This window comes from Homo sapiens, chromosome 4 (genome assembly GCF_000001405.40).
Source record: "Homo sapiens chromosome 4, GRCh38.p14 Primary Assembly".
In the NCBI taxonomy this organism is placed as follows: Eukaryota; Metazoa; Chordata; class Mammalia; order Primates; family Hominidae; genus Homo; species Homo sapiens.
The window spans coordinates 1,157,338-1,173,890 of NC_000004.12; the positions used below are offsets into that span (position 1 = coordinate 1,157,338).

The 16,553-nt window shown below is 52.6% G+C and overlaps 2 protein-coding genes across 4 annotated transcripts in view, besides 6 other annotated features; one reads left to right on the forward strand and one right to left on the reverse strand.

The window, feature by feature from the left end:
• LOC124900647 (nascent polypeptide-associated complex subunit alpha, muscle-specific form-like) overlaps nucleotides 1-16,553 on the forward strand; it is an 89,556-nt gene that overhangs the window by 43,699 nt on the left and 29,304 nt on the right. The window lies entirely within an intron of this gene.
• Nucleotides 6,086-6,135: an enhancer, noted in NCBI's record as "active region_21143". NCBI's record gives its function as "activates an Ori minimal core promoter by ATAC-STARR-seq in GM12878 lymphoblastoid cells {active_cell/tissue: GM12878}" and the evidence as "EXISTENCE:reporter gene assay evidence [ECO:0000049][PMID:35858748]".
• The window catches only part of SPON2 (spondin 2), a 41,913-nt gene continuing 34,954 nt past the window's right edge, over nucleotides 9,595-16,553 (reverse strand). The window contains exons 1-7 of one of the 3 annotated variants that reach the window (NM_001128325.3): nucleotides 15,743-15,843; nucleotides 15,207-15,342; nucleotides 14,515-14,737; nucleotides 13,926-14,149; nucleotides 13,662-13,853; nucleotides 13,065-13,239; nucleotides 9,595-10,319 (exon numbers count right to left, since the gene is read on the reverse strand). In NM_001128325.3, coding sequence (NP_001121797.2) covers nucleotides 10,135-10,319; nucleotides 13,065-13,239; nucleotides 13,662-13,853; nucleotides 13,926-14,149; nucleotides 14,515-14,734 — 996 coding nt within the window. In that variant the 5' untranslated portion in view covers nucleotides 14,735-14,737; nucleotides 15,207-15,342; nucleotides 15,743-15,843 and the 3' untranslated portion in view covers nucleotides 9,595-10,134. Of the gene's footprint in view, nucleotides 10,320-13,064; nucleotides 13,240-13,661; nucleotides 13,854-13,925; nucleotides 14,150-14,514; nucleotides 14,738-15,206; nucleotides 15,348-15,742; nucleotides 15,844-16,553 lie in introns of those variants that run through there. The other 2 variants (NM_001199021.2, NM_012445.4) reach the window with 2 other exon arrangements.
• Nucleotides 9,724-9,973: an enhancer, noted in NCBI's record as "active region_21144". NCBI's record gives its function as "activates an Ori minimal core promoter by ATAC-STARR-seq in GM12878 lymphoblastoid cells {active_cell/tissue: GM12878}" and the evidence as "EXISTENCE:reporter gene assay evidence [ECO:0000049][PMID:35858748]".
• Nucleotides 9,724-10,083: a biological region, named in NCBI's record as "ReSE screen-validated silencer GRCh37_chr4:1160925-1161208".
• Nucleotides 9,800-10,083: a silencer, noted in NCBI's record as "fragment chr4:1160925-1161208 (GRCh37/hg19 assembly coordinates)". NCBI's record gives its function as "represses an EF-1alpha promoter that drives an FKBP-Casp9 reporter gene in an ReSE screen in HepG2 liver carcinoma cells {active_cell/tissue: HepG2}" and the evidence as "EXISTENCE:reporter gene assay evidence [ECO:0000049][PMID:32094911]".
• Nucleotides 14,426-15,141: an enhancer, noted in NCBI's record as "H3K27ac-H3K4me1 hESC enhancer chr4:1165551-1166266 (GRCh37/hg19 assembly coordinates)". NCBI's record gives its function as "activates a minimal SCP1, AML or CMV promoter by ChIP-STARR-seq in naive H9 embryonic stem cells {active_cell/tissue: H9 hESC(naive)}" and the evidence as "EXISTENCE:reporter gene assay evidence [ECO:0000049][PMID:30033119]".
• Nucleotides 15,142-15,859: an enhancer, noted in NCBI's record as "H3K27ac-H3K4me1 hESC enhancer chr4:1166267-1166984 (GRCh37/hg19 assembly coordinates)". NCBI's record gives its function as "activates a minimal SCP1, AML or CMV promoter by ChIP-STARR-seq in naive H9 embryonic stem cells {active_cell/tissue: H9 hESC(naive)}" and the evidence as "EXISTENCE:reporter gene assay evidence [ECO:0000049][PMID:30033119]".

The window sequence follows — 16,553 nt, forward strand, 5'->3', positions numbered from 1 at the left end:
TGCTGGTGGAGGGTCTTGCCTTGATGTAGACGGCTGCTAACTGATCAGGGTGGTGGCTGCTGAAGGTTGTGGTGGCTGTGGCAATGTCTTAAAATTAGACATCAGTGAAGTTTGTCATATCAATTGATGCTTTCACAAAAGATTCCTCTGTAGCATGTGACACTTTGATAGCATTTTACCCACAGTAGAAAGTCTTTCAAAATTGGAGCCAGTCCTCTCCAATTCTGCTGCTGCTTTATCAACTAAGTTTATGGAATATTCTAAACCCTTGGTTTCATTTCAGTGTTCATAGAATCTTCACCAGGACTAGATTCCATCTCAGTAAACTACTTTCTTTGCTCATCCATAAGAAGCACTCCTCATCAGTTCAGGTTTCAGCCTGAGATTGCAATAATTTGGTCCCATCTGCAGGCTCCACTTCTAATTCTATTTCTCTTGCTGTTTCCACCACATCTGTAGAGACTTCCTGCACTGAAGTCTTCAACTCCTCAAAGTCATCCTTGAGGGTTAAGATCAGCTTCTCCCAAACTCCTGTTCATGTTGATATTTGTATGTCCTCCCATGAATCATCAGTGTTTTGAATGGCATCTGGAATAGTGAATCCTTTCCAGAAGGTTTTCAATTTACTCGTCCAGATTCATGAGAGGAATCCCTATCTGTGGCAGCTATAGCTTTACAAGATGTATTTCTCAAATAGTAAGACTTGATAATTGAAATTTCTCCTTGATCCATGGGCTGCAGAATGGATGTTGTGTTAGCAGGCATGAAAACAACAGTAATCTCCTTATACATTTTCATCAGAGCTCTTGGGTGACCAGCTGCATTGTCAATATTGTCAATGCATAGTAATACTTTGAAATAATCTTTTTTTTTTTTCTGAGCAGTAGGTCTCAAAAGTAGGCTTAAAATATTCAGTTAGCCATGCTGTAAACAGATGGCTGTCATCCAGGCCATGTTGTTCCATGTATAGAGCATAAGTGGAGGAGGTTTAGCATAATTATTAAGGGCCCTAAGATTTTCAGAATGGTCAATGAGGATTGGAGTCAACTTTAAGTCACCAGCTGCATTACCCCTAATGAGAGAGTTAGCTTGTCGTTTGAAGCTTTGAAGCCAGACACTGGCTTCTCTCTAGCTATGAAAGTTCTAGATGGCATCTTCTTCCAATAGAAGACTGTTTTGTCTACATTTGAAATCCACTGTTTAGTGTAGCCGTCTTCATCAATGATCTCAGCTACATCTTCTGGGTGACTTGCTGCAGCTTCTACATCAGCACTTGCTGCTTCACCTTGTTCTGTTTTTTTTTTCCCTTAAACCTCATGAACCAACCTCTGCTAGTTTCAAACTTTTCTTCTGCAGCTCCCTTACCTCTCTTAGCCTTCATAGAACTGAAGAGAAAGCCTTGCTCTGGATTAGGCTTTAGCTTAAGGGAAGGTTGTGTCCGGTTTGATCTTCTATCTAGACCACTCAAACTTTCTCCATATCAGCAATAAGGCTGTTTCACTTTATCATTTGTGTGTTTACTGGAGTGGCACTCTTAATTTCCTTCAAGAACTTTTCTTGGCTGGGCACAGTGGCTCATGTCTATAATCCCAACACTTTGAGACTGAGGCAGGAGGATTGCTTGAGGCCAGGAGTTTGAGACCAGCCTGAGCAACATAGCAAAACCTTGTCTCGACAAAAAAATACATAAAAAAAAAATTAGCTGGGCACATGCCTGTAGTCCTAGCTAGTTTGGAGGCTAAGGCAGGAGGATCCCTTGAGCCCAAGAGTTCAAGGTTACAGCGAGCTATGATCATGCCACTGCACTCCAGCCTAGGTGACAGAGCAAAACCCTGTCTCAAAAAATAACAATACTTTTTTCTTTGTATTCACAACTTGGCTGACTGTTTGGCACAAGAGGCCTAGCTTTCAGCCTATCTCAGCTTTATGTTAATCATTTCTAGCCTTTGATTGCAAGAGAGAGATGATGGCTCCTCCTTTCACTTGAACACTTAGAGGCCACTGCAGGGTTACTTGTTGGCCTAATTTCATATTAGTATATCTCAGGAAATAGGGAGACTTGAGGAGAGAGAGAGAAATGAGGCAATGGACAGTCATTGGAGCAGTCAGACCACACACAACATTTATCTACTACATTTGCCATCTTACGTGGGTATAGTTGGTGACGTCCTAAAACAATTTCAGCAGTAACAACAAAGATCACTGAACACAGATCGTTATAACAGATATAATAATGATAAAATACACTGAAATATTGTGGCAGTTACCAAAAAGTGACACAGAGACATGAAGTGAGCACATGCTGTTGGAAAATGGCGCTGACAGACTTGCTCAATTCAAGGTTGCCTCAAACCTTCCATTTGTAAAAAGCACAGTATCTGCAAAGCACAGTGAAGCAAAGTGCAGTAAAGTGGGGGTGTCCACAAGAATTTCCAAAGAGCCACACCAACATTTGCTGCTATCAAAAAGACTACGAAATGCCATCTAAGATTTCTTTGCCATTCTCTTTCGTCTTTTCCCGGGGACATACGCACAAAAACACCATTTAAAGTTATTGAAGTAATTATTTTCATATAAAGTATATTTCATTTGTGTCAGTTTGTTTTCAATATTTGCAGTTTAGTCATTTTGCCTCTTTAAAGTTCACTATTTTTATTTTTGATTATGTAAAATATTTACATGGCTCAAAAATAAAATTATATGCAAGAAAAGAAAGAACAGATGAGACAAAATAAAAATGAAATTGGTAGATTTAAATCTGATGATATCAATTAAGTCCATTCGATGTAAATGACATAAAGGCAGAGATTATCAGACCAGTAAAGAAGCAAGACTCAAATAAGTAATGTCTACAAGAAACTGGCTTTTAAAAAGATATTCCATGCAAACTCTAATCCAAGAAGTAGGAGTGCCAATATTAATATCAGGCAAGATAGATTTTTAAATAAAAGGAGATTACTGGAGATAAAGGAGCATTTCATAATGATAAATGGGAACTATCTTAAATATATATGTACCTAATAATAAAGCTTCCAAATTTTATGAAACAAAAATTGCCAGAATTGAAGGAGAAAGAGATACATCTATAATTATAGTTGGAGATGTCAACAATCCTCTATTAGTAATATAACAAATAAAGGGAAGTCAGTAGGATTAGTGAAGACCTGAACGATGCCATCAACCAATGTGACCCAACTTGAGCAAACTAACATTAGTGAAACACCACACTCAGGCATGACAGGATGCACAGGGAATATTTGCCAAGATAGGTCTTACTTGGGGCTATAAAATAGTATCAATAAATTTACAAGGATTGAAATCATACAATATGTTCCTGACCATAACTTAATTGAATTAGAAATCAGTAATAAAACTTATATGAGAAACTGCAAATATTTAGATATTAAACACAGTTTTAAATAAACCATGTATCAGAGAAGATGTCACAGGGAAGATAGGAAGTATTTTAATTGAATTGCAATGAAAATATATTTCTTTTGTGGTATGCGGCTAAAGCAATTTATAAAGGGAAATTTATGCCTTTAAATACCTGTATTGAGTTTGAGACCAGCCTGGGCAACATAGTAAGATCATATCTCTATTTTAAAAATTTAAAAATTAGCCAGGCATGATGACATGTGCCTGTAGTCCCAGTTACTTGGGAGGCTGAGATAGGAGAATTGCTTGAACCCAGGAGGCGGAGGTTGCAGTGAGCTGAGATCACGCCACCGCACTCCAACCTGGGTGACAGAGTGAGACTCTGTCTCAAAAAAAAAAAAAAAAAATGCTTGTATTAGAAAAGAAGAAAAGTTTAAAATCCATGACCTAAACTTCTACCTTAATAAACTACAAAAAGAAAAGCAAATTAAACCTAAAGTAAGAAGGAAGGAAACATTAAAGATTGATGGAAGAAAAAGTAAAAGTAAAGTGTGGAAATCATTGAAACAAAATGAACAAACACTAGAGAAAGCTAATGAAACTAAAACTCGTTCTTTGAAAGATCAATAAAATTGGTAAGTCTGATCAGGGGAGAAGGAGAAAAACCACAAGTTACCAATATCAGAATGAAAGGGGATATCGTTATAAATTCTACAGATAATAAGAGGGTAATAAAGAAATTTTATGGGCCAGTGTGGTAGCTCATGTCTGTAATCCCAGCATTTCGGGAGACTAAGGAAGATGGATATGACTTGAGGAGTTTAAGACCAGCCTGGACATCATAGTGAGACCTTGTTGCTACAAAACAATAAAAATCAGCTGGGTGTGGTGGGGGGGTACCTGTAGTCCCAGCTACTCAGGAGGCTAAGGTGGGAGGATGGCTTGAACCTAGAAGGCTGAGACTGCAGTAAGCAGTGACTGTGTCACTGCACTCCAGCCTGACGACAGAGGGATACCCTGTCTAAAAGAATTTTGTGAATGAGTTGTGCCAATACATTTGACAATTTAGATGAAATTGACAAATTCTTCAAAAGCACAAATTACAAAAACTTTCACAAGAAAAAATATTTTTAATAGCCTAATCAATCTAATAAAGAATCGAATAAATAAATTTTATTTGTAATTAAAAACTCCTCCCACAAAGAAAATTCTAGGCCCAATGGCCTCACTGGTGAATTCTGTGAAATATTCTATAAAACGTTTATGAAAAAGTTAATATCCATTTTTCACAAAGTCAGAGAAGAGAGCACTTGGATTCATTTTATGAGGTCAGCATTATCCTATACCAAAATTATACTATGACATTATAGAATCTAGTAATAAATGTATTTGGAACTGACAATTCCCTGTGCTTTTAAACATTCTGTGGTTAAAAATTTGCCCAGTTATTTGAATTTGGGTGTTTGTTTTTTGGGGGTTTTTGTTTTTTTGAGAAGGAGTCTGTATCGCCCAGGGTGGAGTGCAATGGTGCAATCTCGGCTCACTGCAACCTCTGCTTCCTGGGTTCAAGCAATTCTCCTGCCTCAGCCTCCTGAGTAGCTGGGATTACAGGCATCTGCCACCACTCCCGGCTAATTTTGTATTTTTAGTACAGATGGGGTTTCACCATGTTGGCCAGGCTGGTCTCAAACTCCTGACCTCAAGTGATCCACCCATCTCAGCCTCCCAAAGTGCTGGGATTACAGGTGTGAGCCACCGTGGCCGGCCAGTTATTTGAATTTGTGAACCTGAACTTCCAGCTTAGGATTTGTTTTCCTCGGCCCTGCTGATCAGCTCTCACTTTACCGCTGCTTTTCAGCTTCTCTAATTTTGCTGTTATTTTTTTCTCCATCTTTGGGGAATTTATACTTTTGTTATTGGAGAGATTTAAAATAATTTGTATTACCATTCCTCAAATCTCAGACCATCCTTTTGGGATAATTTTCCTCCACCCTGAACAACATCCTTTAGAAGTTTTTCAGGGTAATTATCTTGGTATTAAGATTCTTCAGTTTCTGTTAATCTGAAAATGTCTGCATTTTGCTCTCATTCTTAAAAGGTGTTGCTGAGTTCCCAGCTGTGGGTTGACAGTTAATTTCTCTCAACATTTCAAAAGTTATTATCTGACTGCCTTCTGACTCCCTTTGGGCTGTTAGGAAGTAGCTGTCATTCAATAGATGTTCCTTCATAAGCAATCTGTACATTCCTCTGGGTCCTTTGAAGGTTTTTTCTTGTTTTTTTTTTTTGTTTTTTGTTTTTTTTTTTTTGAGATGGAGTCTCACTGTCTCCCAGGCTGGAGTGCAATGGCGCAATCTTGGCTCACTGCAAGCTCTGCCTCTGGGGTTCATGCCATTCTCCTGCCTCAGCCTCCCAAGTAGCTGGGACTACAGGTGCCCGCCACCGCGCCCAGCTAATTTTTTTTGTATTTTTAGTAGAGACAGGGTTTCGTCGTGTTAGCCAGGATGGTCTCGATCTCCTGACCTCGTGATCCGCCTGCCTCGGCCTCCCAAAGTGCTGGGATTACAGGCGTGAGCCACCGCGCCCAGCCTGAAGGTTCGTTCTTTGTGTTTAGTGTTCACCAGTTTCAATATACTGTGTGTGGGCGTGGACTGCTTTCACTTCTCCTCTTTGGAATACATTATGCTTTCTGTTTCTGGAGACAGCTTCTAATTTTAACCAGTGCTGTAAATTTGCACTATTTTCTCTTTAAATATTATCTCTTCTCCACTCTCCCTATTATCTCCTTTAGAGTCTCTGATTTAAAACATTTTAGAACTTTCCATCTTGTCTTCCATATCTTTGTGAAATTTCCCATTTCCTGTCTCTCTGTGCTGCATTCTGCCTGATATCTTCAGCTAGATCTTCCAGTTCACTAATTCTTTGTTCAGCTATGCTAATTAGCTCTCCAACTCACTCAGGCTTCCTCATTTTATAATTTTTCCTTTCCAAATGTATCTGTTTGTTTCTAATTTCCCTTGTTGGTTGGTCATTTTTGTTCTATTTGTTTTGTATTACATTTCTGACAAGTTAATTATCTGAGATCTTGGGTGTCTGAATCTGTTGGTTTTTTTTTTCTGGCTTTCAATTATAGCGACTTGTTTTCTTGTTTATTTAATCTTTGTGTTGTGCTCGTTGCCTGATTTTGATTGTTGGGGCTCACACTAGGGACTGGGAAAGCTCCTGAGGAGAGAATTGCTCCTGTCCTTTCCTATATCACAGGGCATTGCTGGCCTCGAGGGTCCCTCTCCATGTGGGGTGCTGGGTTCACCTTTTCACTCTGCTGCTAGCCAAGCTCACAGCAGCCCTCAGGAGCCCTGTCTCTCCCAGCTGCTCATGAGCTTGTTTCTTTGGCCTGACACCACCTCCTTGCTCCAGCCTCAATGTGTGTGTTTACTTATTTTTAGAAGTGGGGGTAGAAAGTGGAGTCCTCCCTGCATCTTATGAAAGGGGCAGTGTCTCAGAGCTGTATCCATCCCGTTTCGCCATTCTGTGGGTGGAGGGTGTCCCCTGAGAGTGCCAAGGTAGGCGTCTGGATTGTGCCATCCACACACCCTCTTCTACAGCTCCAATGGAGTATGGTGGGAGTGGAGTTAGGTGTCAGTGCTCAGTTCCTCAGCCTACCATCTTTGCCAGGAACTCCCTGCCCATCGCTTCTCCATGTTCTACCCTTTGTCTTCCTCCCCCAGTGCCACAGACCCCTCAGCCCCAGTCCCCATGGCCTGTGTGTTGTTGCTGAGCACAGTGGGCCATTCCATGATTATCCTCCTATGGCTCGGACACTGTGGACTGCCGACCACTTCTCAGCACAGTGGGCTGGACCAACCCTCACCCTGTAGGCCCAGCAGCACCCTGGAGCCCAGCGTATCCACATCCCACTAATATGAGGGGCATGCAGTCTCAGTGTAGTTGTGGAGCCCCTCCTTCTGGCCCAGGTGCCCCCCGTCCACCTGTGGCAGCACAGTGTGCAGGGGGCTACAGACCACGAATGGGTCCCTCAGGTGTGAACTTGCCCTCACTTGCTCACTGCCCCCCTGGCTCCCCATGCTGACCCAGTTGGGACAAGGCCTTCCTGAAACTGGGATGGGGTCAACTGCTTGGGTATCTCTGGGAGGCATGTTAAACGCAGGTCTGTAAGTATTCACGTTGCGTTTTCATCAAAACAAACCCAGACTCATCCATTTCTTCCCATGTCCACGGGTGTCTCTGAGGCCCAAACCTCTCTCTTTTGGGACTATTGCAGGGGCTTCTCCTCTCCATTTTCCTGTCTATACCCACTACTCACTGCTGTCAAGATGGCGGCCACTGATGCAGTGCTGTTTCTGCACTCTGCGCCTTCCCGTGCTCCCCACCTCATTCAGGAGAGGGCAGCCACATAGGTCCTGTCTGATCCACCCTCCGGCCAGGCGGCCCCTGTGGGATTCCTCACACAGCATTCCATTACCGGATGGCGTTCCCCATTGGTCTCCTTCAAATCTCAATGCCTCAGCACAACAGTGGCCGTCCTAGTGGCGTGGGGGCCCCAGAGACTTCTGTGATGGCACCCACGTCAACACATGCCCTGGGGCCCCAGAGACTTCTGTGATGGCACCCACGTCAACACATGCCCTGGGGCCCTGGAGACTTCTGTGATGGCACCCACATCAACACATGCCCTGGGGCCCCAGAGACTTCAGTGATGGCACCCACGTCAACACATGCCCTGGGGTCCCTGAGGCCAGGAAAGCACAATAGCCTCTCACCTGGGCAGTAAATGTTCTGGCCCCAAAGTGACGCCTGTCCTACCCCAGGGACCCCCAGCTCCATGCTCCAGGAGGGAGGGCAGGTGGATCCAGGTGTCTGCAGGAGTCTGCACCACAACCCCTTCCCCAGCCTTTCAGTGATCCTACAGGACTTCACAGGCTCCACAGTAGCGCATGGTTCTGTGAGTCTGCTCTTGCAGTCTCTGCCCTTTGACTGGAGTGTTGTGTCCGTCTGTCGAGGCTTCAATGCACCACCCCATTGTGCTGCTCTGGTGTCTTTGAGTTTAGAGCTCCTGGCGAGGTTAACTCGGTCAGCATCTTCTCCTGGTCATGCCAGCCCCAGCGGCCCGGTGGCTCTGACCGTGGAGTTTGCCATGTGCTCTGACTCAGGAGCATCAAGGCTGGTGTTCTGTGCGTTTTATGGGTTCTGATTGTGGGTTCATGTTCCTGGGGATCCTCTTGAGTTCCAAGTACACAGTGTGATCTCTACACAGGATTTACGGCCATTCTTTCAGGGGCCTCCTGGCATTGTCAGTCCCAGGAACCTTAAGAAAACTTTAAGCCAGGGGTTTTTCAGATCTCCACGTCACCTCAGAGCTCATGCGCCCGTGAGCTTGGGCTTAGTTCATTGTTTTCAAGGATGGTGGGCGGGGATGGCGTGCAGGGTGGTGGGAGCTGGGCCTGGGGTCTGGTTCTAGAAGCATCAGGGCTGGAGGGCCTTAGACAGTTACGAGGAAGGGTCGTCTACCAGGCCTCGGTGAGAGAAGTGAGCCCCCACCTTCCAGTCACTGGGAGAGGACTGAAGAAGCAGCCATCCCCCAAGCATCTCCATCCTCAAACCACACAGAGCTCCCGCCCAGGCACTGAGAGGGCCCTGGGGTTCCACCAGGTGAGTGGCACTGGTGGGGAGGCCTGGGGACCCCTGCTGCAGAAAGGGCCACGACAGATTACAGTGAGCCCCTGAGGACATCTTTGAGGTTGGGGCCTCTGAGCTCAGGTCTCAGGAGGTGTCTGCTGGTGGCCTGATGGGCTGCGAGGGTCTTGGTGGTCAGTGGCCCCCCCATGAACAGCAGCAATGCAAGCTGCTCCCACAGAGGAGGGGGCAGAGTGAGGGCTTCTGGGGCCTCGTCCGGATCTCAAGGTGCCCCTTGTCTGAGCTTCTGATCGTCCTGTGGGCAGGCGCGTGCCTGCCGGGTTTGTGGATGCATCTGACATGCCATTTGCTGTGTCTTCTGAAATCCTGTATGGGCCAGGGGTGGCGTCTGTTGTGGGGAGATCTGTAGGTCTCAGGCCTGCCTCCCACACACACACAGAGCACGTGCCTCATGGCCCTGACGGCAGCACCAGGCGCCTTCTGAATGTGTGTCCCCAATTAGCGCACACCACGGGTCCCTGCACTGCACGGGGCCCAGAACAAGTGTGGGGACAGCCAGGGACATTTGTGAGCAACAGAGATAGTCTTTATTCAAACGCAGAGAGATCCATAACATGGAAACACTGACGCTTCCGAAACCGCCCCATTTATTCACTTCTCAAGTGGCCCCCGCTTGGATGCGCCCTCGGGAGAGTGGGCTCAGCACAGCCTAGAGCACCAGGTCTGAGGTATCTGCAACCACGTGGGAGCCAGGCCCCTGGACGATGAAGGACAATCTCCTGGAGCAGCAATAACTTATAAGGAGACATAATTTAGAGTAGCTGGAGCCTTGGGGATGACTTTATCCTGCAGGAGGAGGAGGCTGAGAGCAGACGGGACACGGGGGCCCCTAAGAAGCAAGGTTGGGAAAGGAGGAGGCTGTTTCCCAATGCCCGTGCCGGCCACCAGAGGGCCCTTCAGTGCAGAGATGGTCGGCGCGGCCTCACCGCGGTCAGGAGCAGCGCGAAACCCCCTGTGCCCTCGGCCGCCTGCAGCATGAGCCTGCACAGGAGCCCCCGACACCCCATGGCTCCGGGGGGCCCCAGGGGCTGCGGGGCTCTGGTCTTAGACGCAGTTATCAGGGACGCACTCAGCCTCTTCTTCGAGCTCGGGGCAGGGGCTCCCGTTGTTGGCGGGCTGGACCCGGACGTAGCGAGTCCTGCTCTTGGTCCCGAGCCTCCCACAGTGGCCTCCGCACAGTCCCCAGGACGACCACAGGGAGACCTCGCAGTCCAGCGGCGTTTCTGGAACTGGACCAAGCAAAGGGGAGACCGAGGTGAACGCTCGCGTGAAGAGGCGCTTCGTACAAACGGAAGCCACCTCCCACCAACGTGTGCATTCATCAGAGGCCACGCCCACCCTTCGGGGGCACTTGCGTTTCTCCGCACAGTCGCAGAGTGAGCGGCAAGATGGGATGGCACCATAGCAACCTCGGACACAACCTAGGGACTGGAGTTGCGCGTTTCTACGTAAGAGCCGGAGCTGCCGCTCAAGTCCCTGTGGTGGTGGAACTCCCACATCGTGGCAGAGTAAGGGGCCCCTGGGAACCCCGTGGGAACCCCGGGAGAGGGCGGACACCCCTGCTGTAGAAAGCTGCTCTGCCCGAGCCTGGACCCAGCTGCTACATTTACCCGAATAACAGACAGGGGCACCTGATTAGCTGTCTTGCGGGACCTGGACCCCCCACAGGACTCAGACCTTTTCAGTATCGTTCTCGTTTCCCTGTGTCCCATCTGGTTCCATAATTTTCATAAATTTAAAAATCATCATTTGGTGTTATGGTTAAGTCACTTGGTAATTTCCATGTTTCCAAAGCAAAGTGAAAACACCTCTTTTGCACCCCACAGGCCAAGCCAGCCAGATGGACAGTGTTTCTCTGGCTGTGTGGCCCAGAGCGGGCAGCCCCTAAGGAGGCCAGGAGCCCCGCCTCACTCTGCCGTGCACGGGAGGACAGTCAGCAAGGGCTCGGCTCTCCTCACAAATCTGCGAGTACCCTGCTGCCAGCTTTGTGGCTACTGAAGGATGAGAGAGAGTGGAGAAGGGGGTCAATGTGCAGGTGCAGTGCCTGGACTGGTCTGGAAGCCCTGGCCAGGCCCACACCTGGAGCAGCCCTCTCCAGAGATGCAGGAACAGGGCTTGCAAAGACCTTGGGCGCTGAGGCTTCGCAGGGGCACTGGTGTAGAAGCCAGAGAGCCAGGGCCCCGGGCAGCCCACCTGGGGAGCACACAGAGCTGCTGGCAGATCCCAGCACCCCCCAGCTTCCTGACTGAAACCGAGGTGGTGGGAGCGCCCCTGCCCTGGCTGCAATGAGGAGTCAGTGAGCACTGGCAGTGCCTGTTCTACAGCGAGGGCCCCACCACAAGCCTCTCCAATGCTGCAGAGCCCTGTCAGGAGGCCTGGGGACAGGCATCCAGCGTGTGAGCAGGAAGCCAGAGCTGAGCCAGGCTGGCTTGGCGTGGACCTGGCGGAGCCTCCTGGGTGCCAGCCGCCACATGCCCATCCCAGCCTCTGCCCTCGGGAAGCCAGAAGTCACAGGAGAGACCCTTGTGGGCGGTGGTCTGTGCTCCGTCCCCACTGCCCACTCTGGTCCCTCGGCTGGCACAGCTGGCTCTGTCCGTCTCCCACCCTTCTCTCCATGTCCTGCCTCCTGCTCAGAGCTCATAGCACAGTCTCTCCCCACCCTTCCCCTGCAATACTGCTTCTGCTTGGCCACAGCTGACTTTATCCCTCTCCTAGCCCAGGGCACTGGCCATGTGCTCCCCTGCCCACTGTGGCCCAGTGCCCCCAAATGTGGGGCAAACCGCACCTCTCTGGACCCTCTGCCCACGAGGGGCTCTTCCCGCCAGACCAGTTGCACACCACGAACAGTGCTGGCACGTCTGCCTGTTGGGTAAGTGGCTCGGGGACATCTGCTTGGAATGGGGCATCCGCGTGGACAAATGAGTGAGGAGCCCAAGCCTGCACTGGGCAGGGGCAGCACCGAGGCTGGCACAGGGAGGCCCAGTTCATCCCAAATGAGGAGGGACCCAGGACTGGGCACAGTCTCTGTCTGGGGAGTGGTTCCCGCCAGCCAGGCGGCCTCCTGTCTGACCTGACCTGGCCCTTGCTTCCAGGGACGGCTGACAGTAAGCTTGTAATTACTGCTGCTCCTCAAGACGACATCTGTCCCTACCACATGGCTTGGGGGGCAGGTGTGGGGCGGCCCCGTACCTGCCTCAACTCCAGCCAGCAACATGGAGGGTGGAGGACGACGGGGCCCATGGCCAGGTTGGTGGGCTCCAGTTCCTCCTCGGGAAAGTCTGAAGTCCGCTGTTGTCTGGGGCCTACACTGACTGTCCCACACCCATATCAGGTGAGACCCAGAGACCCAGAGCCAACAGGCCCTGACCCACGACCCAGCAATGCGCTCCAGACCACAGGCGCTCCGTGAGGCCAGTGGCTGCCACCCAGCTGAGTAGGGAGGGAACTGCCACTCGGCCCCAGCGTTCCCAGCCTGCCCTGTCCAGCAGGTGCCTGGAAGAGCTAGGAGAATGCTCATCAGCACCTGCCCCGCCCCAGGCCAAGGCGCCTGTGAGCAGAGCCCCGAGCTGTGTGGTGGCTGGGTCCCGAGACCCCCACAGGTGCCCTGCAGCATAGCTGTCACCCGGTGGCCACACAGGGCCATCCTAGCAAGCTTCCTTGTCAGCTGTGACACACAGGTCACCTGTGGGTGCGTGTCTGACAGGACAGAGTCTCTCAGGTACTGTCTGGAGCCTCCTTTCATTCTTTCCTCTGGGCTGTGGCCCTGTAAGATGCTTTCAACTGCAAATAATGTGCAAGAGTCACATCTTCAGTGTGTGAATCAACAGAATCCTAAATCTTCTAGGCACCATCTTGCAGTACGCACTACGAATCCCTACTTGGAATTTCTCAGAGCCTTAGGTTCGGGTTTGGTGGTCGCCCTGTGGCAGGGTTCGGGGCTGCTGTGTGTCCCATGTGACCTGTATGTCCGTTACCTGAGGCGCTGTCTACAATCTCATTGTCCCTGCTGGGCAGGACTGGGGCGGGAGGGATGAAGGCCCTGGGGCTCTGTCGCAGCCGCACCAGTGTCACCCTGGCGATGGGAGGCAGGGCCTTCAGCCGCGGGTAGTAGAAGGAGTTGGCCGGGTGGCTGGGAGAGGAGGACGTTATCTGGGGAGGAAGAAGAGGAGGTTGGCCTGGGGTCCGAGAAGCCCACCTTCTGGTATGCGTATGGCCTCACTGGGGCCACTGCCCAGCGTCCAGCGTGCCCTCTGCACCACTGTTGGGGACAGGGTCCCATGTACTCCTCTCAGCCATCCCACGGAACACGGGCTGGAAACCGAGGCCAGGAAGGGGCAGCCTCCTCGGGACGCGCGTCCCGCTGTCCTCCCTGCGGTGCTGTGACCCCGGGTTGGGAGAGTATGGGAGGGCTGCACCCCCTTGCTCACTGCTGGCGCTAGAAGCAGAGCCTCTTCCACACAAAAGCCGCAAGCGGCTGTCCTGGGCTGGGAGGCGAGGGTGCAGCCAGGCCCCAGCCCCGTCCCCACCGCGGGGGCCATAGCGGCCCTTGCGCACGCGGGGTGCCCACTCACCTCGGTCACCGTGTCCTGCGGGATGGTGGCGAAGTTGGGGGAGGAGAAGGTGAAGCCGCTGTCCGTCCCGGCGTCGTAGGGGTACAGGTCCAGCGCCGCCTGTTCCCGCCAACGGTCCCCGTCGCACAGGTCCAGGCTGTCCACGCCCACGAACCAGTCGGGGCTGGGCACGATGCGCACCACAAACGAGACCTGCGGCGACAGCGGCTCAGCGCGCCTGGCCCCGGCCCCCCGGACCCCGCCCCCGGCCGGCCCCGCGCTCACCAGCGAGTGCCTGCGCTGCACCTCCAGCTCCGCCGACGTCTGCCCGGTGCCGCTGGGGACGGCGGGCGCCGAAAACACCGCGTGCACGCTCTGCAGCGCCTCCCCCGCCGCCTCGATCTCCTTCATCAGCGCCCAGGCCTCGCCGCGCTCCGCAAAGTCGCGCAGCCCGTTACTGACGTACTGGTTCTTCCTCCACATGCTGTAGTCGGAGCTATGCGCGGCCCCTGCAGGACCACCCGGCCGCGCCGCGGACCATGGTCAGACACTGCGGTCGGGCTTGGATTCCAGGGGGCGCCCCAGGAAATCCCTCCCCGCCGCCCGCAGGGAACCATGGCCCCCAGTCACGTCGGACCGTGACACCCTGTGGCTGCCCCTGCCGCGACCCACCTGCGCCCTCCCCGTGAGCGCCCCCTGCCCCCACCGCATCCCCGGAACCGCACACCGCAGGCGCTCGGCAAACATTCTGGTGTTAGAGTCTCCCGACGTCAGCACGCCCCAGACTGGGAAGCGCCGCCGTGCAGCTGTGCGGGGGGCTCCGGCGCCGCAGCCCTCCTGGTGGAGCAGGAGGCGAGGAGGGGGCTGTACTTACCCAGCAGCGAAGACCACTGCGCAGGGGGGCGGAACAGGGGGTACTGCTTGGGGAAGGCCGTCTGGCTCCACTTGCCCGTGAAGGTGATGCTGTATTTGGCCAGGGCTCTGGCGGAACAGATGGACTCTCCCCCAAGAGGCTGGCCGGCGGCGCCGAGAGTGGCCAGGAGGAGAGCGCAGAGGGCCTTGCCCAGGGCGGCGGCCGGGCTGGGGTTTTCCATCACCTGGGAGCACAGAGGGGAGCAGCCGCGCGCTGGCACCGTCGTGGCAGCCTCGGGGTGGAAAGCCGAGAGGGCTGCGGCACTTTGGGCTCTGAGGACGGCCCCGAGCACCCGCGACCCCCTCCCTGCTCCGCAAAGCTCTCCTGCGGTGCTTCCGAGACCCCCATCAGCGGAATGGACGGCGCGGGGTTAGATCGCCCGTGCGCCTGCGAGCGACCAGGGGTAACGGGCAGGTTTTCAGTCCGAGTCCCTGCAGCTTGCCGGGCCGGTCTGGGTGCGGCCTCCGGGATGCCTTCGCCGTCGCAGGGACCCGGGGCCTTGGCCGACTGGCTGCCCCCGGGACTAGACCCTTAAAGCTCGGTCGCAGCCAGTCCTGGGGGTCCCTCTGGAGGTGCCACAAGGTTCTGGGCCGCGGGGAAAGTGCAGGAGGCCCGGGCCCTCTCTGGGTGTCCCGGGGGCACGCAGTACTCACCCGGCAGGAGCAGCGGGAGCGCGGCCGGCAGCGGTCGGGTCCCAGCCAGAGCCCGGAGCTCCTATTTAAGCCCGAGGCCGGCGCCCCGGGCCGGCCAATGAGGCTCCAGTTCCTCCTGTCTTCGATGCTGCACGGCCTGGCCTCCAGCGAGAGGCAGATAGGACGTGGGAGAAAGGAGGAGAAGGGGCTGCGGGGGCGGCGGGGGCTGCCGCTTTCCCAACTCGCCCTGCCCAGCGACCTTCCCCGGGTCGGATCACCCTCTTCCCCTGGCAGTGCTGCCGCACCCCTTTCTTTGTCTGTCTGTCCTATCCCTCCCCTCCCCTCCCTGTCCCCTCCCTTCCCCTCCCCTCCCCTCCTCCCCTCCCCTCCTCCCCTCCCCTCCTCCCCTCCCCCCTGTCCTCCTCCCTCTCCCCGTTTCTCTCCCGTTCCAACAAGCGCCTTCCTGGTGCCTCCCTAGGTGCCACTGAGGGGAGTTCTTTGCCCCAAGCCTTTCGGGAAAGCTCAGGGCGTGGGGGCAGAGGGGCTCTTGTTTTCACCTTCTCGAAATTAGAGCCAGCGTGCTACACCTTCTTGCGCAGGGTGTGACCTGGAGAGCCCTGTGCGTGGCCTGACTTCAGTCTACATGCTGGAAGTGGCTGGGGAAGCTCCTGGCTCCCGGCGCAGGCATCCCTGGCCTTTGGGGCCCTGGCTTTAAGTCTCTTTCCTGGCATGGCCTAAAGCTGCACAGAACAGCCTAGCGGTCTGCACTGTGGCCAGAGGGCATTTGCAAGCCATCCCTCCTGGAGGGAGGTCAGAGTGGGCTGAGGGTCTGGGGTGGAACGCGCAGGGAGTCAGGAAGAGCCACAGAAAGGGGGCCCCCCTCCCCAGGACCCCGCACAGGGCTGGGGCTGCAGGCCGGCGGTGTGTGCGGTGCAGAGCCCTCCCAGGGGCTCTAGGCTTCCCTGCCTTTGGGATGAAGCTAACAGATGCTGAAGTTGATCCTGCTCCATGTCAGGAAAATATTTATAGGTCCCCAGTCATGGGATCTGGAAACAGAGCGGAGGAAGGAGCTCGGGAATGGTCTTGCTCAATCCTTCCCGGCCTCTGCTCATCGGAATCACCCAGAGGGCTTTTAAGCTTAGACAAAACACTCTGATGTTTGGAACCCTGTTAATGTTTCACAGATTCAAAAAGAGAGAAAAAATAAATAGAAGCAACTAGGACAGAATGCAAACAGAAACAAATGATCTAACCTGTATTTTAAGCGAAAACCACAGATCAGCCACTCAATGCAGTATTTAGACTCCAGGCCCCCAGGCCAAAGACAAATTTCCACCTCCGTGCTTCTCAAATGTTTTTATCTGAGGA